Here is a 21605-nt window from a genome sequence, read left to right on the forward strand (position 1 = left end):
GCTGGAGTGCAATGGCACAATCTCGGCTCACTGCAACCTCTGCCTCCTGGGTTCCAGCGATTCTCCTGCCTCAGCCTCCTGAGTAGCTGTGACTACAGGAACGTGCCACCATGCCCGGCTAATTTTTATTTTTTTAGTAGAGACAGGGTTTCACCATGTTGGCCAGGCTGGTCTCGAACTCCTGACCGTAAGTGTTCCGCTCACCTCGGCCTCCCAAAGTGCTGGGATTACAGGCGTGAGCCACCATGCCCGGCCCACTTTCTTATTTTTTGTAGACAGGGTTTTGCCATGTTGCCCAGGTCTCAAAACTCCCGGCCTTAAGTGATCTGCCTGCCTTGGCTTCCCAAAGTGCTGGGATTACAGGCATGGGCCACTACATCCAGCTATATATATCCTTTAACCCAGCAATTCCACTGGCAGGAATTTATCTCCTGATCAGTATCAGGGAAGCTGGCCAAGATACTTGTGTAGATACGTGTTACAGCGCTGTTTGCAATAGCAAAAATAGACCTGGAAACTACCCTTTGGGACCAGGTTAAATCATGACACATCCACACAATGATACTGCAAGGGTAAAGACAAGTCACTCTGAAATGATACAGAACACAAAGGTTTTGGGTTTTTTTGACACCCTGTTGCCCAGGCTGGGGTGCAATGACCCCATCACAGTTCACTGCAGCATCACCCTCCAGGGTTGGGGTGATCCACCTCAGCCTGCTAGGTAGCTGGGACTACTGGCATGCGCCACTATGCCCGGCTGATTTTTGTATTTTTAGTAGAGACAGGGTTTCACCATGATGGCAAGGCTGGAAACCTTTTTTTTTTTGAGATAGGGTCTCATTGTCACCCAGGTTGGAGTGCAGTGATGTGATCACTGCACTGTTAACCTCCTAGGCTCAACTGACCCACCTGCCTCAGCCTCCCGAGTAGCTGGGACTACAGGTGTTCCACCAAACCCACCTTTTTGTAGTGACGTTTCACCATGCTGCCCAGGCTGGTCTTCAACTCCTGAGCTCAAAGTATGTGCCCCACCTTGGCCTCCCCAGATTGCTGGAATTATAGGTGTGATGACCCACTGGGCCTGATAGAGCTTGCTCGGGCAGGGCCCAGTAAGAATGCCACTAAGCCTGATGGATTTTCCTCAAAGACTCAATTGCTAGCACCATTCTCAGTCTGCAGCCCACCCTGCTCCTCTTGGGTCTCTGTATGCCTCCAGAGGGCCTGTGACTGTGCTCAGGCCTGCCTGTGTCTTCAGGACAGAGAGGGAGAAAAGCAGACATCCTGGAATCCCAGCAAGTGCTGTGTTTATTTTCCAAACAATTTTATTGAAATGTGCCAAGAGTACATGGGCAGCACAAATGTATGAACAGGAAAAAAAAAAATCACATGTACAATAATTTTTTAAAAGTGAAGGTTAATCTTGGGAGATAACAGTTCCCCTCTCCCTCCCCCTGCAGATTTCCAGCGTTTCCATTAAGGTTAAGTAAGCCTCTACAAACCTAGCATTTAAAAAAAAAAAAAAAAAAAAAAAAAAGGAATACAAGATCTTTTGCAAATAACAAAAACAAAAAATGGCATAAAGGAAAGAGAAATGTCTTCCTGCTCAGATGGGACTCTTCCTAGGCACCTAATTAGGAGGCGTGCTGAGCAGTGGAGAAACACAACTTCAGAGTGTAAGGGTATGGACCATCTGCAAAGGAGAGACAAGTTTGGTTGGTTCCCGTCTTTGGAGGCTCCCCAAACCCAGGTCCCCTCAAGTTTGTACCCATCTCCCATTTTCTGCAGGTCAACGGCAGGGGTCTAAGGAGTGACTGCCCAACGTGAGGCTTCAAGATGAGCCAATTACCAATTATGCACGGCGTTTCTCCTTCTCTTCCTTCATTCCCATAGAGAATCCCATTCCTATCTCCTTCGCCAGCCCAAGGCAATGGGCCTCTCCCAGCAACTGGGTGGGCAAGTTTTACCTGCTGGATAGTGTTGCCTCTTTCCTAGGTAACAGAGTGGCTTTCCTACCTAAGCCAGTCTCTGATGCAAAGAAGAGAATGCCACCTCCCTGGAGGACAAGCCTGAGCAACTCCCAAGCTGGCAGAGTGAGTGGCAGCAGGCAGTCAGGCTGGCTCTCCCAAGAGGAGCACAGGCTGCTCTCCTGATGAGCAGGTCCCACCTGCCTGTGTCACCAACAGTGCGAAGATCCCGGGGTCCTATCTCAAGGGCAGGAAGGACATCCCTGGCCTGAAGCCAGCCAACCCATTAGGTCACCAGGTTGATGCCTGCAGGACACACAGATACTCACTTGGGTTTTTCATCTGGTAATGGTTCAGGAAGCCCAGAGTCTCCAGGGCATCGCTCTTGGATTCCCACTCCAGCAGTCCAGAGGAGCTGCGCTCACCTGATTGCAAACCAAGGGGAAAAGTAAAGGTTTTAGACTCACCCAATAGGAACTAGGCAGCTGCCCACCAACCACCATGCAATTAGGGCAAGGAGGTGGGCACACTCGACTCACTTTTGCCTGAGAATACTTTCACAGAAGATGGCCGCTTCACTCCCAGCTCATCGCAGATCTGCAAAAGAAAACAGGTAGTAAATGAACTCTGAAACAAAAGGGCCGCCACACAGGATTCAAGCAGACCAGGCCCTGCATGACTCAGTACTTGAAGTTTTCAGGAGAAAAGGCTTGTAGATTTTATCACATACCCTAAGGCATCCCTGTGTCATAAAAAGGCCAGCAACAATGCTCTTTAATTATTAAGTTGCCTGAGACTGGGAAGCTGCTTTTTCGTTCCCAACTTCAACAGCTATGTGGATATCTGCACCCGGCTGTTTGCTGAACACTGTTTGCTGAATGCAAGGTCAACATTTCAGACCACAGCCAGATCCACTTGAGTTCCTCCTCCCTTCCGCTGCCTCAGTTCCCCCTGACTGAGCTTTACAGGGCCCCACCTTCTGATGGTATCAGGGTGATGGCACCCGAAGCCTACGCCAATGCGGTTCTTGTGAAATTGGGCCCTCATCACTGGGCCTGTGAAGCAGCTTTCCCAGCAAACGAGCAGTTGCCCTGCTTGCCAAAAATGTAAAAGGAAGGAACGCGGCAAATGGTGTTGCTAGAAACTTGGTGCCATTCTCACCCTGTCCAGTTTGAGAGCACAGATTCCTATCTGTCCTGGCCTCTGCTGTGTCCCTAGCACTCAACCCAGGGCCAGGCAGGACAGGAGTTCAACAGCTATTTGCAGAAAAGACTGAAATGAATGGCCTACTCAGACGGCCGTGGCAAGGACCCGACTGCCTGCGCAGCTCCACGGCACACACCTCAAAGAAGTTCTCCTCGGTCACCTCCAGCGGGGCGTTGAAGAAGTGCAGCACGTTGCTGGGGTGCTGGATGCGGTTCTTGGCTGCCTGCTCTGGGGTGGAGAACCGATTGTTCCGGGATTCACTGAAGTCTTTGTAACTGCAAGACCCGTCTTCCAACCCGTATGACTGACCAGGCATGATGGCTGGCTGCTTGGAGACACTGCAGCAAGGAAGAAAGGGGAGCCTTTGTCATACCCAAAGTTGTCCCTGAAGCTTTCCCCTGTGGCCTCCAGAGGCTTAGCTTGCCCTGTGTGCCTTGGGGCATTGCTCTACACCTGAGGCAAGGCTGACTCACTTTCTCCTGTGGTGTCAGAGACACGTCTGGGAACACACCTGCCACATCCCATTTCTGTGTGAGTCAACACCTCGGCCTCACTGTGCTCCTCTGCTGGGCCCCATTCCCCTCCTTTTCTCTCCCCTGTACCTCTGCTGCCCTCCCGAGCCTGAGCACCTACCAGACATTCAGCTTCTGCCCAAACATGAAGTTGTTGTTGAGGTGGGTAATGGCCCGGTCTACAGCGTAGCCATCAGCCATCTCCACCATGGCGGCCCCCGGCTTGCTTTTCATGAATTTCACCTTGGGGAGAGTAGCTGCAGTCAGCACCTCTGTCCAGCTGCCAGGGTCCCCTCTCCTGCCCCTCCCAAGTTAGTGATAATAACCCCTGCTCTGGCCTCCCATGTCCTCACAGTTAATCGGGACCACTAGAAAAACATGCCTGGCCCACACCAAGTGCTCAACCCATAGTGAGAAGCAGAGCCTGGGCCATGTTTTTAACTGTGGGACATAACCCACCAGTAAATCATTTAGTGAAGCATGACAGAAAACTGTACAGGAATCAGAAATCAAATCAGCCATTTTCACCATTTTGTCTGTTACACACAGACGTGTGTGATCTATGGATGGCTGTGTCTACAGTCACAAGGTAAAATACTCCTTCAGCTGGGTTACAACAGAGCAGTGCCGGCTCTGGAGCCAGGCAGTCTGGCTCTGAGTCCTGCTTCACATAAAGGCTATGTGAACCTGGGCGCGTTATTTAAGCCCCGTCCTCCACTTCCCCTGTCCATCTCATTAAGGATTAATGTGAGAAATTACACAGGTCACTACATGTAAAGCATCTTTAACAGTGCCTGGTAACTAACAACACTTCACCTGTGTTACGAACTACTCTAAGTAATGGGCCAAGTCATGAGCTGCACAAAGGCCCCCAAGACCCAGACGGGTTTAATGTTAAGCAAAATGCCGCCTGGTCTCAGGTAGACACTCAGCCACCGCTAGCCCCAGTCAACTGTCCCATGGGAAGGCAGAAGGCCCGGTGTTGCCAGGTCTTAAGTTTTCAGGAGGAAATCCTTAAACGATGGTGTTTCACTATAATGGATTCATTTTTATGTTTTATAAATCTCTATGTTCATGTACTGGTATTAGTACTTTTATGTGATAAAATCTTTTTTTTAAACATTGGTAATTCAAAAACACAACACCCACATACAGTGAGGACCAAACAAAACCCGTCTGCAAGCAGGCTGCCTGAGCTCACTGAGTCACTCATTGGCGTCTGCCCGCCCAGCGCCACACCAGGCTCCCCCCTGGTTCTTTCCCGTGCTGACTGGCAAGATACGAGGCTCAGCGAGGAACCCAGGGGGCCCGGCAGCAGCTCACCTTCTCCACATTGCCATATAAGCAGAAGACATTGAAGACTCGGTCACAGTTCATCTTAGATTGATCCAAGCCATAGACCATGAGCACAGGGCTGTCGGCGTGAGGGCCATACTCGGGTGGTGGGGGAGGGGGTGGGGGGTGCCCATACTGGGGGCCGTAGCGACTTGGGCCCCGACGGTGACCCCCCACTGGTGGACCCATCCTTCTCCCTTCGTAGTGAGGTGGGGGGGGCCCGTAGCCCTCATCATGGTAATGGCTGTGGTACCCACCGTGGGGCCCTCCTGGGGGGTGGGAAGGAAAGAGAGGGAGGACGGGTGAGAATTTGCACGGCGGGCGGCGGGCAGGGGCACATGAGCCACGGGAGTCCACGGAGGGGAACCCCCTGCCCTCACCATATTCTGCGGGGTGATCTCCCAGGAGAGGGGGCTGCCTCTGGCGTTTGTTGGGGTTGCTGCCAGGGTCACCTGTGGAGAGAGAAAACAGTTAGGAGTCTCACTCAGAAATTGGGGTCTCTCCCTCCCTCCTGACTGCACAGGCTGATCTGAGCCCCCAGCTCCTGCCAACTGCAAGCCCTCCCTTCCTCGAGGGCTGTGGGGCCTCCTTTTGTGATCTGACCTACGGCGGGCATGAAGCCCGAGCCTCAAAGCTGGTGCCCACTCTCCTTCCCCTGCTCATACCAAAGGGCTGGCCTTGTTCTGTGAAGGACAAGGCCAGATTCTGTGCTCTCACCTACCCTGGCCCTGGGAGAAAGCCCAGCTCCCAGGCCCTCTGGGGAATGTGCAGCTGCTACAGAAGCTGATATATTATGGCGGGCCAAAAGCAGCTTTCTAAAGTGACTCCCAATGAAGGGAGAGTAGATTAAGAGGAAAATAACCCCAGAGGGAAGCAAGCAAGTTTGACCCCCAAAGCCCCCAAAGTTCTAGGAGCTCCAGACTGTCTCTGTTAGATCCCTTCTTTCTTAATCCCAGTCCCCCCTCCCTCCCAGTCCCGCCAGCCCAAGAGGGACTGACTGTAGCTGACAAGCAGGGCAACAGCAGAATCAGTTCAAATAAGCAATCATGTACAAGGCATCGACATTCCCACACCCAGCAATGGCGCAGATCCACCCCGACCCCAGCAGTTCGTAATCACTGCCTTTAACTTAGCGCTTAAGTGGCAGGCACTGGGCTAAGCGCTTTACAGACATCACAGCTTCTGAAATTCCTCACAACAACCCTATGAGGTAGGTTCTGATATTTCAGCCCCATTTTACAGATAAGAAGACTGAGTTGTTAACTTTTAACTGAGCAGTTAAAAGACACTTTGGCCCAAAGTCACAAAGCAAGACAGTGGCTGAGCCATATTTGAACCCAGGTCTGGCTGACTCCAAAACCCAGGGCTCGAAACCACTGCCCTTTCCTGCCACCCGGCCTGGGTTTTGTTACCAGTCATTACAAAATGGAAAAGGACTACTTACAGCAGAAGTACAGAGTACAATGTCCATTTGTCACAAAAAACAAATCTGTATTTTCTCTTACCATTGGACGCTTCAACAGTGAGTTAGCACAGTTCTGAAAGATGGCGTCCCATCAAACATACACTGCGACCCTGCATCACATGGTTTTACAGTCATAAATACAAGTCACGGTACACATCCGCTACAATTTTTTTAAAGAATTGTTTTAAAAGTCAATATTTTGATTAAATCAAAAATGGCTCACAGATGTTCTGTCCTCAGAAGATATCAGAAAAGTGGAAATAAAGGTGTATGAAGTGGGTAGTGTCCCTCCATGTTGTCACCTCCTCACATATGTGCTGCAGTGCGGTGGTGCGGTGCTTCTGGCTGTGTAGCGCTCCGTGTGCGTGTCTCCTGGTATGAGGTGTGCCAGTGGCCCCACTACGCTCGCGCTTTTGGCCTTGGGAGCGCGCCTGGTTACCCGGCAGCAGGTAACTGTGTGCCTCTGAGCTGTTTGGCTGTCTGGTTTTAGGTCTGTTTTGGTTTTTTTGATTTTTTTTTTGTTGTGGTTAAAATTTTTTTTTTTTTTTTTGGTTTCTGATCTCCAGTTGGTGCAGATTATGTTGGCAGCCGGTGACTGCAGAAAAAATAAAAATATCAAAACAGAAAAAAAACAAGGCCCTCCCCAAACCAAATGACTTAAAAAACAAAACCCATATGGCGAGGAATGGAGAGAGGATCCTATTGTCTTGGAGGCCCATGGAATCTACTTCCGTCTATGAAACGTTCTCCGAAAAGAGCATCGCTCGCTGGCTGGCTGGGACAGCTCTGTTCTCTGTGTTTCCTACTTCTGTGTACATTCTCGGGTTCAAGTTTGCTTGGATTTTGACCTTTTTTTTAATGTTTAATAAAAAAAGCAGTGTCTGCTGCCATGTTGCGTCTCTTTCTCTCTTTGTCTCTGTATGCCTCTGTCTCTGTGCTTGTAGCTGTTCCTTGGAGCGCGGTGTGGTGTTCTTGATGTAGTGAGCTCAAGTCTGCGGCTGTTTCTGGGGACGTGGTGGAGGCTGCATGTTCTGTTCTCTCCAGGAAGAGCTAGTGGTTTTCTACCCTGTGTGTTGGTGAGCAATGTGCAGAGGCAGAGCCGCTGAAGTATGGTTCCTGAGGGGTGGCGAAGCACCGCCCTCACTCCAGGTCACCTCATCAGCCCTCGTTTTTTTTTGGGCCCCAGCCTTGGGGCTGCCAAAGCTGAGAGGCATCAAAACCAATGCACAGCCAGCCCCCTGCCACTAGCCCCTGCCGGTCTGCACATCTTCTATTTATGTTCCTTGGAGAAGAAATGGTTGTTGCCATGTTTCTGTTAGCAGTCATGTAATGCCATTGCCCGCTCTGGTACATTCACTTGGTCACCAATTTGCCTCTGACCTTTGGAGGGAGCAGCCAGGCCCACAGGGCCCACTGTGAGGATCCTGGGGAAGAGTCTAGCCCACCCTGCCCACTGCTTCCCAGATGCAAGGGCGAGCAAGACAGGCCTGCCTAGGAATGGGGGGCTCTGGCCTCTCAGGGCCTGTGCGATGTCAGCATCGAGCCTCCTCCCTCAGCCCATGGCCTGGTCCGACGTATCAGACCAAGACAGACACCGAGATGGATGGTCTTGTTGGGGGGCTGCCGCTGTTTCTCATAGGCAATCCTCCACCTCTCCCTGCTACCAAAGGCAAACCATTCTTGACAGACACTAGGAAGGGAGTTGTCCATTTGGGCCACCTGCAGAGATGTTGCGTCCCCTCTACAAATGATGTGAGGCATGTCCGCCCTGGTCCAATCCAGAGTGTCTCACCTCCACAGGGTCAGCTTGCTCACAAGGCTCACTGCAAGAGCCCAGGAGACCTCATCGCCCCCCAACACTGTCACTCCCCCAAATCAGACCCTCTCAACAGCGCAGAACAAGAGGACAATTCCTGGTCCAGCAAGAATGGAGTGAGTGACCCTCACCAGACTCTCAAAGGAGCCACTGCTGGTTTCTAAGGCCGCCCCCACGCCTCATCCTCAGTGAGGCCCTGCTCCCCGCCCATCCAGGCTTCTGCCTTGCCTCTGTATCCTGAGCAGCATCGGAGGGCCCCAAGCAGCAGTGAAGACCCATGGAGGCCTCTCACTCCCCCATCCCACTAGGGTGTCCAAGTGCTGACCCCAAGGCCCTCCCATGTCCATGGGGGGCCCAATGGCATTACATAACCCTGAGCCCAGGCCTATTAAGTGCACTAGTCGAGTGAAAGCAAGGCGGGTATGTTTAGAACAAAGTGGTCGTCAAGATTACCTTGTCCACTGAGATTGGGGTTTGTGTAGTCCCAAGTATCCTGATCATTCTTGAACACATTCAAGCGTGTAGGCTGCAAGGACAGGACAAGACAAGACTTGAGGTCAGCCATGCCCCAGCTCACCTGGAAGCTGACAAGGGGCAGTCAGTCACCTCCCAGATGTACCTTTGCGTATTCGATCTTCAGAGTGCAACAGCCAGAATAGATATCAGCCCCATTGAGAGAGGCCTTGGCCCGCTGGGCACTTTGAACTGAGTCAAATGTGAGTCAAGTTAAGGAAAGTCCCATCACAGGAGATCTTTGAGAAGGGCTTCAAGTTACCCCAGAGTGTGATAAGGACAAGGTAGCACCCCAAGACTGTGGTACAGACGGAAGCTTTGGGATTAGCTCACTGCCCAGCCACTAGCCTCAGGTTAAGAGACCAAAACGGTGTTGATGGACTCAACGCTGCCCCGGGTGAGCAGTCACTGGCCAGAGTTCTCTCATAATCTGCACCCCGACCCATGGCCACCAGCAACCTCTTCTGCCACACCACTTTCTCCGTCTCAGCCCTCTCACACCCTTCGACTAAATCTGAAACATCAACTCGATTACAGCTCTGCCCTGAAAGTCCATCAGTGGCTTTTTCCTGCCCCTGCCCCAAGCATCGCAACGCTGTCTAGGATGCCCTAAAAGCTTCTTCCAATGTCTATTCCAAACCCGTCTGCTTGCCAGCCACTTTGCAATCCTCAGGTCTTTCAATTTCTCCATCCAACACAAGCTCCTTCTGACTTTACAACCTTTGCAGAGGCTGTTTCCTCCACCTTGAGTATAAGCTCCTATTTGCTCATAGGACATCACCTCCTCAGCAACCTTCACACATGCCCCACCTTTTTTTTTTTTTTTTGGATATGGAGTCTCGCTGTGTTGCCCAGGATGGAATACAGTGGCACAGTCTCGGCTCACTGCAATCTCCGCCTCCCAGGCTCAAGCGATTCTCCTGCCTCAGCCTCCAGAGTAGCTGGGATTACAGGCGTTCACCACCATGCCTGGCTATTTTTTGTATTATTAGCGACAGGGTTTCACCACGTTGGCTAGGCTGGTCTCGAACTCCTGACCTCAGGTATCTGTCCACCTCGGCCTCCGAAAGTGCTGGGATTGCAGGCATGAGCCACTGTGCCCGGCCCCATATCCCCTTTTAAATAAATTCCTTTTCCCAGGGGCACATTTTCTCAGGACCTCTTGAGACTATGTTCCCCAAATCTTTGTCACTCATATTTGAACTTAGAATAAACATCTTTAAAAATAAATTCCTAGCCAGGCGCGGTGGCTCACACCTGTAATCTGGGAGGCTGAGGCAAGTGGATTGCCTGAGGTCAGGAGTTCGAAACCAGATCTCTACTAAAAATAAAAAAAATTAGCAGGCGCCTATAATCCTACTAGGAAGGCTGAGGCAGGAGAATTGCTTGAACCCAGGAGGCAGAGGTTGCAGTGAGCTGAGATCGCACCACTGCACTCCAGCCCAGGCAACAAGGGCTAAACTCCATCTCAATAAATAAATAAGTAAATAACAGAAAGAAAACAAAAAGAAAAATAAATTCCTTTGTATCTCCCAACACACTGCTCTCTCCCCTAAGATCTGCACGTCCACACGATATGCCTGGTCCTTTAACTGCCTCCCTACTCAGTCACTGGGCTCTGTGAAGGCATCTGGCACATGGCAGCCACTCCCGTGGTCAGCAGACACATGCTGGCTCAAAGAATGGCCACTGTCAAGCCCTGCAAGAGTCCCTACCCTAAGGAACACCTGTTTTCCAGCAAAGGATATTCCACCATCGCCTGAACTCCATTCTTCCTGAAAATGACAATTCTCTGGACAGGGCCACAAGGATTACAGATAGTGTAAAGAACATCCTGCAAAAGCAAACACAGGCAAGATGAAGGGGCACTGGCAGATCAGTCTGGCTTGGGGGAGGGAATAAGGGGAGAAAAGGAAGGGAGACCTCACAAGAAATGCCTGCTGGCACGTACCGTGGTGATCGAATAAATGGGGTTCAGGATGGTAAAGAGAAGCACACTGTTCACGCTCCGGGAGTCATCCGAGTCCCCAGGGCGGGAGATCTTCTGGCTGGTAGAGTAGTTGACAAAAGCTGGGTGACCAGCAATGTATATTTGGTTGTCGGCTGCGTAGTTCACTGCGTTGCAAGCCCCCAACACATCTTCAAACTCCACCAGTGCTTGTCTCTTTTTAGGCATTACCACCACATAGCTGGCAGAGAGAACACAGGTTTCAATCCTCTCAGGAAAATGTAGACAGGAGGAGGGTATCATTTGATTTTTTGAGAACTGACTCCTCCATGGCCTCTGAACTCCTCTGCAACCCTATCATGGTTCCCCGACCTGAACACCCTGTGCCACAAGTAGTACCAAAAGCCAAAGAGGTCTAGCTGAGCCATCATGTCCCTCTGGGAAGCCTTCCTGACCTCTCCTCACCAGACTGTCAGATGCCACCCACAGACGGCTTCTTGAGCTTACACTATGACAGTGCAAATCACTCTAGGAGGGCAACTTTCTAAGAGAAGCATCCAGATACAGCTCACTACTGTATTTGCAGTATATAGCATGCACCAAATATTCAGTAACTACTTGCTGAATGAAAGAACACTGGCCAGGAGCAGTAGTAGCTCATGCCTGTAACCCTAAAACTTGGGAGGGCTAGGTGGGCAGACTGCTTGGGCCTAGGAGTTTGAGACCAGCCTGGCCAACATGGCAAAACCTCACCTCTACAGAACAATATAAAAATTAGGCCGGGCGCAGTGGCTCACGCCTGTAATCCTAGCACTTTGGGAGGCCGAGGCGGGCAGATCACGAGGTCAGGAGATTGAGACCATCCTGGCTAACACAGCGAAACCCCATCTCTACTAAAAATACAAAAAATTAGCCGGGTGGGGTGGCCAGCGCCTGTGGTCCCAGCTACTCGGGAGGCTGAGGCAGGAGAATGGCGTGAACCCACGAGACAAAGCTTGCAGTGAGCTGAGATTGTCACTGCACTCCAGCCTGGGCGACAGAGCAAGAGACTGTCTCAAAACAAACAAACAAACAAAAAATATATATATGTAAAAATTAGCCGGGCATGGTGGCGCATGCCTATAGTCCCAGCTACTCAGCAGGCCGAGGCAGAAGGACTGCCTGAGCCTGGGTGAGACTGCACCACTACACTCCAGCCTGGGCCACAAAGCGAGACCTTGCTCTGTCTGAAAAAGAGAACACTGACTAGAAACTACAAGGCAGAGGAAAAACGAAGGAAGGAAAAAGGGTCATGGAACTTGCTGTAATCTGACACAAAGTACAATGGCCAACCCAAAAGCAGAGCGGCCACAGAATCTAGACCAGGATGGCAACAAAATCACTATTTCCAACCAGAAATCGTGGACACACAAGGACACCCAGGAGTCAACTTTGGAAGCCCAACACCTGGCCTCTGAGCCCAGTACCTGATGGGTCCAAACTCCTGCAAGGCCTCCACAAGGTCTGCTTCCACCACACCGTCAATCAGGCCCCTGATGTGGACAACTGGGGAGGCAGGGGTTTTGTGCGGGTCATCGTAGTTCTCCTGAGAAAGGAAGCAAAAACAAGAATTATTTTCTTGCTGTACAAGATGACGCCCCACTGGCCTCTGTACTGTTGTAGACCCAGTCAGATAAAACAGTTGGAGGTCATCCGTGAAGGATGCACAGGAAAGACTAGGGGCAGCAATTGAAGCCAATCAGCCCAGAAGGATTCTGGGTCAGCAGAACAGTGGTCCTGAGTGGGTGATCACTTGCCCACTGGCTCTTGCTGTAGCTTCTGAGGAAGGTATAACGGAGGGAGGGCCACACAAGTCCCAAATCTTACGTTCTTCCAGGGACCCCCCTCTCTTCCCACTGGTCCACTCGACCAAGGAAACATGGGAAAAGAGTAGCTGGAAAAGGAGATACACTGGCAGCAAGGGCTCTAACAGCTATCTGCTACAGTTTGAATGAGGACATCCCCTTTGCATGTGCCCCAAATTCCTTGCCCTTTAACTGGCTGAGCCACCATCATCTAGCTAAGCACACCTGTTCCCCACCACTCACACCCAGGTTCAGTCAGGGCAAAAAACAACACATGCCCCAGAAACTGGGGCAGCCAGGCCAGTCTTGACCCCTTCTAGTCTTGAATCGCCCTCCCACCAAAATCTGCTTTGGAAATTACTGCCTAGGTCAGACTAAGAAAAACCAGACAAGAAAAGTCTTTTATTTATTTTTTGAGATGGAGTCTCACTCTGTCACCCAGGCTGGAGTGCTATGGCGTGATCTTAGTCCACTGCAACCTCCGCCTCCCAGGTTCAAGCGATTCTCCTGCCTCAGCCTCCCGAGTAGCTGGAATTACAGGCCCTCGCCACCACACCTGGCTAATTTTTTTGTATTTTTAGTAGAGACGGAGTTTTGCCATGTTGACCAGGCTGTTCTCGAACTCCTGACCTCAGGTAATCTGCCTGCCTCAGCCTCCCAAAGTGCTGGGATTATAGGCATGAGCCCCCACTCCCGGATGGAAAGTCTTTTAGAAAGACCAGAGACTCCAACCCATACCATTAAGAACCGACTGCTCCTTCCTAAGAGAAGTATCTTACACCCACCGACAAAAGCCTCTGGTCATCAGGAGAAAGATTAACTCTCTTCCGCCTCTCCTGGGCTCTGGGGCCGGCCCCCTGTCTGAGAATCACTGGGCAGAAGTGCGTGGAAGGTGGGTAGAATTGGATTCTATTTCAGGAGCGATCCACGCGAACCACAGGGTGAGGCACTCCCGCCAGGTTAGCAGCTCCCACAAATGGGAGTTCTAACTCCAGCCCTGCCCCTCACTAGCTGTGCCACCTACAGTAATTCACCTCATCTCATCTCTCTCCTGGCCCATTTCCTCCTTTGTAAATCGGGAATCCCAGTATCTCCCCCAACCTCAGGAAGCGTTAAGGATTTTCAATTAAGATGTCTTTAAAATGTGTGGGACAAGGCCAAGATTAAAACGCTAGCAACTCGTAACCCCTAAACCCTGGAAAACCCTGCAAATAGGCGGCCCTGTAAGACTTCAAGATTTTGGAAAGAGTGGGGACTGGGCCCCACTCCAAAAGCAACGACTGGTGTTTTCGGAGGGACTGATTACAGGGGGTCGAAATGCTTCCAACATGGCCAGGAAATAGTTTGGTTTATCAAATCCTCGGTACCCAGTGAATCCCCGGAAACTGTAAGCAAACTTGTGATGGTTTCAAGGCTTCGCTCAACTCCTAAAAGGCTAAAAGTGCATTTCACAAGTCCTCTTCCCATTTTCAATGCCTACAAAAATGAGAGCATCTAGGCTCAAACACATCCATTTCTGTATAGACACAAGGCTGGGCCTTAGAGATTAAGCTGCCATCAGACGGAATTCCCCACTCTAGAGAACAAGGCCGCCGCCCACCCGTTCCCGCTCACCAGGCGCTCCCCTAACCGCCCACGAGGCCGGGCGGGAACACTGCGCCTGCGCATGGAGCCAGCGAAGAAAATGATAAAGGGGAAAAAAACCGGCCGGGCCGCGTGCCCGGCCCCCACACGCCAGCCCGCGGCGCCTGCGCACTGGGCCATTCGCCTCACGAGCTACTTCCTCTGCGCTCCCCCACACCCCGCTCCGGACCCCGCGCACGCGCAGGCGCCTGTCCTCGCGCAAACCCCGCCGTTTGCCCAACGGCCGCCCCTCCCCCACACCGTCAACGACGCGATGGCCTGGGCGCGTGCGCAGAGGCCCCCCTCAAAAAATAAAATGCCCTCAAGCTGGGAAATTGTCCCCCAGTTCCCGGCCTTCCCAGCGCCTAGGGCCCTGGCCTCACCCCACCGCCGCCGCCGCCCGCCGCCCCGGCTCCTCCACCGCCACCGCCGCCGCCTCCGTGCTGGTCGCCGGCGTTGTCAGTCTTGAGCCGCTTAGGGGCCCGGCCGCCCTCACTGCCGCCGCCGTAGTAGCGGCCACCGCCGCCTCCGCCGCCCGCCGCCGCCATCTTCACCATCGCTCCCGACCGCCTCCGCTGCTCGTCCGGCTGCTGCCTCTGCTCCAGCCGCCGACGCCGCTTCTCCGCCCGGGGCAGCAGCCTCCGCGACATGGCGGCGCAGAACCCGCCTCCCCCCGCCTCTCATTGGGGGAGGGACACGCCCGTCACCCGCCGCCCCCACCCGATAGGGGGAGCCACTGGTCCCGCCGCGGGGGGAGGGTAGGCCGCCACACGCCTTGCGCGCTTATTGGACATTGCCCACGCCGTTCTGCAGGAGGGCCCGCCCTTGTTTGTCTGAGACACTCCTTATAGGTGGTCGCTTTCTGCCAGTCTTTCCGTCGACCCCGCCGCCTTAAAATAAAATCCAATTTGATAGGTCGGATTTCTGGCGCTGCTGGCCTCCCTAAAAGCACCTGATAGGAACGGCGCTCTAAACCTCCCAAGAATCTCCGCCTCCCTCCCACTTTCATTGGTCTCCTCGCTAATCCGTCAGCACCAGTCACAATGACGACCTTCCCGCGCCACTTCGCAAGGAGACAAGGAAGCCCCGCCCTTTTTTGGTCTCTCTCCAGTGGTGGTTACAGATGCCCATTCTTCTGCGTCTCCACTGATTGGTCAATGGAGAGTGGAGCGCACCCTCTCACCAGATGGTAGGACTGTTGATACGCTCTGATTGGATGAAATGGGGAGCCCCGCCCCAGGGTAGGCGCTCTTTGGTGCAGTATACGAAACGAGCGAAGGCGAGAACGCATGCGCAAATACGCTTTCAGGCACCGCCCAGAGGCGGGGCCCCCTTATGGAGCGACCGCTGTGTGTGCGCCGGAAGGCTAGACCAAGATTGACAGGAACTCCCAGGGTATCTCTGTCGCCATCACTATACCGTGTTCATTTCTACCTCTAGGAGGAATTGTTAAAATCCCAAATCTGAGCCTTTTCCTCAGTAGAAAACCACTCGCTGCTGCCGACTGTCTTCGGACCCTGTCCAGTTCTAAATTCAGCCGCAACCCCTTTCAGTTTCCCTTGGGAGAAGGCTCTTCCGCGCACTCTCCATGTGTGCCCATGCAGTCCCTTCCACCTGCAATAGTCCACTACCCCTCCTGCAGGAGCTAAGGGCCAAGTCATCTTGTCCGTGCGATCTAAATTAACAGGTCCCTGCCATCCCAGACCCCCAGGATTCCCTTCAAAGCCATAACTCGGGCCAGTGGTTTTCACCTGACAGCTCGACCCCTCTGAGCACCACAGGAGGTCCTGGCCCCGACCCTGGAGAGGGTGGCCACCTACCAAGCGCCCAGTACAGCACCTGGCACAGTGCAAGCCCCCTGCACAGGGGAGGCGTTCTTGTGATCTGTGCCTGCGTCGGGCCTTTCTTCCTCAAGGGCGGGGTAAGACCACCCGCACTGCACCAAGAGAATGTCGGAGGGTATCTCCAGACTCCGGCGAAGCCCAACTGGCGGAGCCTGGGGGGTGGAGAGGAGCGCGCCCCAGTTATCACGCGCAGGCAGCGGGGTCAAACGGGGATTAACCCGGGATCCCGTCCTACGGCATTTAACATTATGGGGCTGCCCGCGCAGGGTGTGGGGGGGAACACCTTAGCGAAGCTATTGGCAAGTGACGATATCGCCAAAGGGGGGAAAAGAAATAAAAGCGAAGCTAGCGTCGTGAGAAACGCGGCGGACGCCCCAAAAGTGCTCCAGGACCTTTCTGCCCGGCTGATGGGGGATTTCGAGTTGAGGTCCGGGTGGAAACTAAGTTTGAAATGGAGGCCGTGTGTGGTGGCTCACACCTGTAATCCCAGCACTTGGGGAGGCCAAGGCGGAAGGCTCGCTTGAGCCCCGGATTTCGAGGTTGCAGTGAGCCGTGATCGCGCCCCTGCACTCCAGCGTGGGCGACGGAGCGAGACCCTATCAGAAAAAATGGGGTTTATGGCAATACAAGAGGGGACAGGCCTGGTGGCTCTGCCGGTGAGGGGAAATAAAGTTAGGGGAGGGGGCCTTGCTGGGGACCTCGGTCAGCTCCCCCGGACACCAGGAAGATCCGACCACGCCAACGGAACAGAGACGGGGGCGGGGCCGCGTCTGAAGCACGTGGCCCGCGTGACGGGAGGAGGCCGGGCCGGTCGCGACGAAGGGCGGGGTCGCTCCGTCCCAACGTCAGAGGAATGCGGTGGGGGGAGGGGGAGAGAGAGGGCCCCTCCCCTCCCCGCCCCCGCGGCCGGCCCGGACGCCCCTCGCGCCGGCGCGCACGGCCGGAGCACGGCGGAACGGTCTCCCCGGCGCCGCACGTTCCAGGCCGCCGGCCCGGCCTGGTGACCCGCACCCCCCGCGCTCCCGGCCACCGCCCCGCCCCCACCCCGCTGCTCGGACCCTGGCCCCCGGCCGCGCGCGGCGCCGCCCGCCAGTGCCCCGGTCACCTTCCCGCACCCCTCGCCCCCAGCCCCTACCAGCTCGGCGGCGAGCCTGACCGGCCGTCCCGGATCGAAAAGAGCAGACACTGGGAAGTTTTGGGAGAGGGAGGGGCGGGCCTTAAAGGGACCACGACCTTTTTTCAGCCCCGTGGGGGGAAGAAAAATTGGGGGCAGGGGGCGCGGGAGCGGGGACACGGCAGGAGACCGAGGGTCGCCCCGCGGGGGAATGGAGGAAACCAGGCGAGAAAGGAGCGGGAAGACCTTGGAGCCGCGGTGTTCGGGCTCCGCGTCCCTTTTCCCCAAAAATCCACCCCCGCCCCCCGCAGACGGAAAGTCACGCAGTTGTTTGAGACTCGCGCATCTTTCCTCCTGGTCAGGCAAGTGTCTTGGCTGAGGCAAGTGTTTGGGGTGTACATTGCTCACATAAGGAAATGGGCTGGAGGGACGCAAGTGACTAACCCAGGATGCCACAGCTTGCAAGTGGCATGGCGGGGCTGGTCTGACGCCGGAGCAGACGCATCACCACTGCACTTGCAGGGCTTATTAGGGTGATGGGGTAGGCTGTAGAGATGGGGGGTTCAGAGCAGGGGACTGGAGCCACCCTACCGGGGTTCCAACGTGGAAGCTGCATTTACTGTCTCTGGCCTTAGGAAAGTAACTTAGCCTTCCTCATCCGTTAGGGGGATGGCAGTAGGAGCTTCGTCTGGGTCGTCATGAGGAATGCAGAGAATGGAAACGGGACCTTAGAGGACTACCCCCATTTCACAGTTGAAGTAAAACTGGCCCAGAGAGTGGAAGAACCGCGAAAAATTACCACAGCTGGGCAGCCTCTGAAAGAGCAGGTCGCTCCCGTTCTTAATCCACACAAAACTTAATCGGACCCTTGCAGATCCTTGTAAACCCATGCCAGCCGGGCACGGTGGCTTCCCCTGTAATCCCAGCACTTTGGGAGGCCGAGGTGGGCAGATTGTTTAAGTCCAGGAGCTCGTGACCAGCCTGGGCAACATGGTGAAACCTTCTCTCTACATAAAATACAAAAAAATTAGCTGGGCGTGGTGGCGTGCAACTGTAGTCCCAGCTACTGGGGAGGCTGAGGCGGAAGGATCACTTGAGCCCAAGAGGTGGAGGCTGACAAAGCGAGACCCTGTCTCAAAAACAAACAACACCCCAGAAAAATATGGCTGGGCGCCGTGGCTCACGCCTGTAATCGTAGCACTTTGGGAGGCCGAGGCAGGAGAATCGCTTGAGGTCAGGGGTTCGAGACCAGCCTGGCTAACATGGCGAAACCCGGTCTCTACTTAAAATACAAAAATTAGGCTGGCGTGGTGGCAGGCGCCTGTAATCCCAGCTACTCAGAATGCTAAGGCAGGAGAATTGCTTGAACCCGGGAGGTGAAGTTTGCAGTGAGCCGAGATTGTGCCACTGCACTCTAACCTGGGCAACAGAGTGAGACTCTGTCTCAAAAAACTAAAATAAATAAAATAGGCCGGGCACGGTGGCTCACACCTGTAATACTAGCACTTTGGGAGGCTGAGGCGGCTGGATCACGAGGTCAGGAGATCAAGACCATCCTGGCTAACACGGTGAAACCCCGTCTCTGCTAAAAATAAAAAAAAAATTAAAAAAAAAATTAGCTGGGCATGGTGGCAGGCGCCTGTAGTCCCAGCTACTGGGGAGGCTGAGGCAGGAGAATGACGTGAACCCAGGAGGCGGAGCTTGCAGTGAGCCGAGATCGCTCCACTGTACTCCAGCCTGGGCGACAGAGCGAGACTCCGTCTCAAAAATAAATAAATAAAAGTAAAAAATAAATAAATAAATAAAATAAAGAAAAAATAGTAATGCTGCTGTGACCATTCCTAGTGATATCTTCTTGTGTCCATGTGTGAGAGTTTTAAGGGCATGTAGGTAGGAGTGGGATTGCTGGGTCGTGTAACATATTTTGACATTATTGGGTAGTAACAAATTGTTATTCAATATATCTGTACCATATATTCCCACCAGCAGTATATGAGAAGGTCTCATTCTTTTTTTTTTTTCTTTTGAGACAAGAGTTTCAATTTGTCCCCCAAGCTGGAGTGCAGTGATGCATACACAGCTCACTGCAGCCTCGACCTCCTAGGCTCAAGTGATCCTCCCACTTCAGCCTCCTGAGTAGCTGAGACCGCAAGCACATGCCATCATACCCTAATTTTTTTTTTTTTTTTTTTGAGATGGAGTCTCACTTTGTTGCCCAGGCTGGAGTGCAGGGGTGTGATCTCCACTCACTGCAACCTCTGCCTCCCAGGTTCAAGCGATTCCTCTGCCTCAACCTCCTGAGTAGCTGGAATTACAGGCACACGCCGCCATGCCAGGCTAATTTTTGTATTTTTAGTAGAGACGGGGTTTCACCATGTTGTCCAGGCTGGTCTTAACTCCTGGCCTCAAGTGATCTGCCCACCTCGGCCTCCTAAAGTGCTACTAGCATTACAGGCATGAGCCACAGCGCCCAGCCACCCTAATTTTTTTAAATTTTTTTAATTTTTTTATTTTTATTTATTTTTTTTTTTGTAGAGGCAGGGGTCTCACTATGTTGCCCAGGGTGATCTTGAACTCCTGGGCTCAAGCAATCCTCCCACCTCAGCCTCCCAAAGTGTTAGGATTGTAGGTGTGAGCCATGGCACCAAGCCTAGGTTTCTTTTTTTTTTTTTTTAATTTAATTTAATTTTATTTTATTTTATTTATTTTTTTTTTATTGATCATTCTTGGGTGTTTCTCACAGAGGGGCTTTTGGCAGGGTCATAGGACAATAGTGGAGGGAAGGTCAGCAGATAAACAAGTGAACAAAGGTCTCTGGTTTTCCTAGGCAGAGGACCCTGCGGCCTTCTGCACCGTTTGTGTCCCTGGGTACTTGAGATTAGGGAGTGGTGATGACTCTTAAGGAGCATGCTGCCTTCAAGCATCTGTTTAACAAAGCACATCTTGCACCGCCCTTAATCCATTTAACTCTGAGTGGACACAGCACATGTTTCAGAGCACAGGGTTGGGGGTAAGGTCACAGATCAACAGGATCCCAAGGCAGAAGAATTTTTCTTAGTACAGAACAAAATGAAAAGTCTCCCATGTCTACCTCCCTCTACACAGACACGGCAACCATCCCATTCCTCAATCTTTTCCCCACCTTTCCCCCCCCTCCATTCCACAAAGCCGCCATTGTCATCCTGGCCCGCTCTCAATGAGCTGTTGGGTACACCTCCCAGACGGGGTGGTGGCCGGGCAGAGGGGCTCCTCACCTCCCAGATGGGGCGGCCGGGCAGAGGCGCCCCTCACCTCCCGGACGGGGCGGCTGGCCGGGCGGGGGGCTGACCCCCCCACCTCCCTCCCGGACCGGGCGGCTGGCCAGACGGGGGGCTGACCCCCCCACCTCCCTCCCGGACGGGGCGGCTGGCCGGGCGGGGCCTGACCCCCCCACCTCCCTCCCGGACGGGGCGGCTGGCCGGGCAGAGGGGCTCCTCACTTCCCAGTAGGGGCGGCCGGGCAGAGGCGCCCCTCACCTCCCGGACGGGGCGGCTGGCCGGGCGGGGGGCTGACCCCCCACCTCCCTCCCGGACGGGGTGGCTGCCGGGCGGAGATGCTCCTCACTTCCCAGACGGGGCGGCTGCCGGGTGGAGAGGCTCCTCACTTCTCATACGGGGCGGCTGCCGGGCGGAGGGTCTCCTCACTTCTGAGACGGGGCGGCCGGGCAGAGACGCTCCTCACCTCCCAGACGGGGTGGCGGCCGGGCAGAGGCGCTCCTCACATCCCAGACGGGGCGGCGGGGCAGAGGCACTCCCCACATCCCAGACGATGGGCGGCCGGGCAGAGACGCTCCTCACTTCCTAGATGTGATGGCGGCCGGGAAGAGGCGCTCCTCACTTCCGAGATGGGATGGCGGCTGGGCAGAGACGCTCCTCACTTTCCAGACTGGGCAGCCAGGCAGAGGGACTCCTCACGTCCCAGACGATGGGCGGCCAGGCAGAGACGCTCCTCACTTCCCAGACGGGGTGGCGGCCTGGCAGAGGCTGCAATCTCGGCACTTTGGGAGGCCAAGGCAGGCGGCTGGGAGGTGGAGGTTGTAGCGAGCCGAGATCACGCCACTGCGCTCCAGCCTGGGCGCCATTGAGCACTGAGAGAACCAGACTCCGTCTGCAATCCCGGCACCTCGGGAGTCCGAGGCTGGCGGACCACTCGCGGTTAGGAGCTGGAGACCAGCCTGGCCATCACAGCGAAACCCCGTCTCCACCAAAAAAATACGAAAACCAGTCAGGCGTGGCGGCGCGCACCTGCAATTGCAGGCACTCCGCAGGCTGAGGCAGGAGAATCAGGCAGGGAGGTTGCAGTGAGCCGAGATGGCAGCAGTATAGTCCAGCTTCGGCTCGGCATGAGAGGGAGACCGTGGAAAGAGAGGGAGAGGGAAACCA

At 54.0% G+C, this 21605-nt stretch overlaps 1 protein-coding gene and 1 long non-coding RNA gene across 9 annotated transcripts in view, besides 11 other annotated features; one reads left to right on the forward strand and one right to left on the reverse strand.

The window, feature by feature from the left end:
* Positions 1-4761, forward strand: part of LOC124904712 (uncharacterized) — a 17012-nt gene extending 12251 nt beyond the window's left edge. Inside the window, exon 2 of the long non-coding RNA XR_007067252.1 lies at positions 1786-4761. This is a non-coding gene — a long non-coding RNA (uncharacterized LOC124904712). The remainder of the gene's footprint in view (positions 1-1785) is intronic.
* On the reverse strand, positions 1280-17257 carry HNRNPL (heterogeneous nuclear ribonucleoprotein L). 8 transcript variants are annotated; one of them, NM_001005335.2, is made up of 13 exons: positions 17206-17257; positions 12226-12344; positions 10763-11000; positions 10560-10645; positions 8918-9014; positions 8752-8824; positions 5398-5469; positions 5006-5286; positions 3804-3925; positions 3307-3508; positions 2504-2561; positions 2294-2389; positions 1280-1690 (listed from the first exon to the last, which is right to left on the reverse strand). In NM_001005335.2, the coding sequence occupies exons 3-13, from the start codon at positions 10985-10987 to the stop codon at positions 1632-1634; spliced, it is 1371 nt and encodes a 456-aa protein (NP_001005335.1). In that variant the 5' UTR covers positions 10988-11000; positions 12226-12344; positions 17206-17257; the 3' UTR covers positions 1280-1631. The 8 variants fall into 8 exon arrangements, with proteins under 8 accessions (NP_001005335.1, NP_001524.2, XP_047294693.1 ...); NM_001533.3 differs by lacking the exon at positions 17206-17257 and adding an exon at positions 14610-14896; XM_047438737.1 differs by lacking the exon at positions 17206-17257 and adding an exon at positions 14781-14891.
* Positions 7659-7738: an enhancer, noted in NCBI's record as "active region_14595". NCBI's record gives its function as "activates an Ori minimal core promoter by ATAC-STARR-seq in GM12878 lymphoblastoid cells {active_cell/tissue: GM12878}" and the evidence as "EXISTENCE:reporter gene assay evidence [ECO:0000049][PMID:35858748]".
* Positions 7821-8321: an enhancer, noted in NCBI's record as "H3K4me1 hESC enhancer chr19:39333551-39334051 (GRCh37/hg19 assembly coordinates)". NCBI's record gives its function as "activates a minimal SCP1, AML or CMV promoter by ChIP-STARR-seq in naive H9 embryonic stem cells {active_cell/tissue: H9 hESC(naive)}" and the evidence as "EXISTENCE:reporter gene assay evidence [ECO:0000049][PMID:30033119]".
* Positions 13157-14095: an enhancer, noted in NCBI's record as "H3K27ac hESC enhancer chr19:39338887-39339825 (GRCh37/hg19 assembly coordinates)". NCBI's record gives its function as "activates a minimal SCP1, AML or CMV promoter by ChIP-STARR-seq in naive H9 embryonic stem cells {active_cell/tissue: H9 hESC(naive)}" and the evidence as "EXISTENCE:reporter gene assay evidence [ECO:0000049][PMID:30033119]".
* Positions 13934-14023: an enhancer, noted in NCBI's record as "active region_14596". NCBI's record gives its function as "activates an Ori minimal core promoter by ATAC-STARR-seq in GM12878 lymphoblastoid cells {active_cell/tissue: GM12878}" and the evidence as "EXISTENCE:reporter gene assay evidence [ECO:0000049][PMID:35858748]".
* Positions 14096-15033: an enhancer, noted in NCBI's record as "H3K27ac hESC enhancer chr19:39339826-39340763 (GRCh37/hg19 assembly coordinates)". NCBI's record gives its function as "activates a minimal SCP1, AML or CMV promoter by ChIP-STARR-seq in naive H9 embryonic stem cells {active_cell/tissue: H9 hESC(naive)}" and the evidence as "EXISTENCE:reporter gene assay evidence [ECO:0000049][PMID:30033119]".
* Positions 14224-14763: a silencer, noted in NCBI's record as "silent region_10584". NCBI's record gives its function as "represses an Ori minimal core promoter by ATAC-STARR-seq in GM12878 lymphoblastoid cells {active_cell/tissue: GM12878}" and the evidence as "EXISTENCE:reporter gene assay evidence [ECO:0000049][PMID:35858748]".
* Positions 14774-15033: a silencer, noted in NCBI's record as "silent region_10585". NCBI's record gives its function as "represses an Ori minimal core promoter by ATAC-STARR-seq in GM12878 lymphoblastoid cells {active_cell/tissue: GM12878}" and the evidence as "EXISTENCE:reporter gene assay evidence [ECO:0000049][PMID:35858748]".
* Positions 15184-15273: an enhancer, noted in NCBI's record as "active region_14597". NCBI's record gives its function as "activates an Ori minimal core promoter by ATAC-STARR-seq in GM12878 lymphoblastoid cells {active_cell/tissue: GM12878}" and the evidence as "EXISTENCE:reporter gene assay evidence [ECO:0000049][PMID:35858748]".
* Positions 15604-15673: an enhancer, noted in NCBI's record as "active region_14598". NCBI's record gives its function as "activates an Ori minimal core promoter by ATAC-STARR-seq in GM12878 lymphoblastoid cells {active_cell/tissue: GM12878}" and the evidence as "EXISTENCE:reporter gene assay evidence [ECO:0000049][PMID:35858748]".
* Positions 16754-17133: a silencer, noted in NCBI's record as "silent region_10586". NCBI's record gives its function as "represses an Ori minimal core promoter by ATAC-STARR-seq in GM12878 lymphoblastoid cells {active_cell/tissue: GM12878}" and the evidence as "EXISTENCE:reporter gene assay evidence [ECO:0000049][PMID:35858748]".
* Positions 17455-18099: an enhancer, noted in NCBI's record as "H3K27ac hESC enhancer chr19:39343185-39343829 (GRCh37/hg19 assembly coordinates)". NCBI's record gives its function as "activates a minimal SCP1, AML or CMV promoter by ChIP-STARR-seq in primed H9 embryonic stem cells {active_cell/tissue: H9 hESC(primed)}" and the evidence as "EXISTENCE:reporter gene assay evidence [ECO:0000049][PMID:30033119]".

The sequence above is a fragment of the Homo sapiens genome, chromosome 19, assembly GCF_000001405.40.
Source record: "Homo sapiens chromosome 19, GRCh38.p14 Primary Assembly".
In the NCBI taxonomy this organism is placed as follows: Eukaryota; Metazoa; Chordata; class Mammalia; order Primates; family Hominidae; genus Homo; species Homo sapiens.

Excerpts from the sequence above, each read along its gene's own strand:
- HNRNPL (NM_001385651.1), bottom strand. The coding sequence starts at position 14,876 with ATGTCGCGGAGGCTGCTGCCCCGGGCGGAGAAGCGGCGTCGGCGGCTG. Across the intron at positions 11,001-12,225 it reads CAGGAGTTTGGACCCATCAG|CTATGTGGTGGTAATGCCTA; the intron begins GTACTGGGCTCA and ends TCTCTCTGCCAG. Across the intron at positions 3,926-5,005 it reads TATATGGCAATGTGGAGAAG|GTGAAATTCATGAAAAGCAA; the intron begins GTGAGCTGCTGC and ends ACTCTCCCCAAG.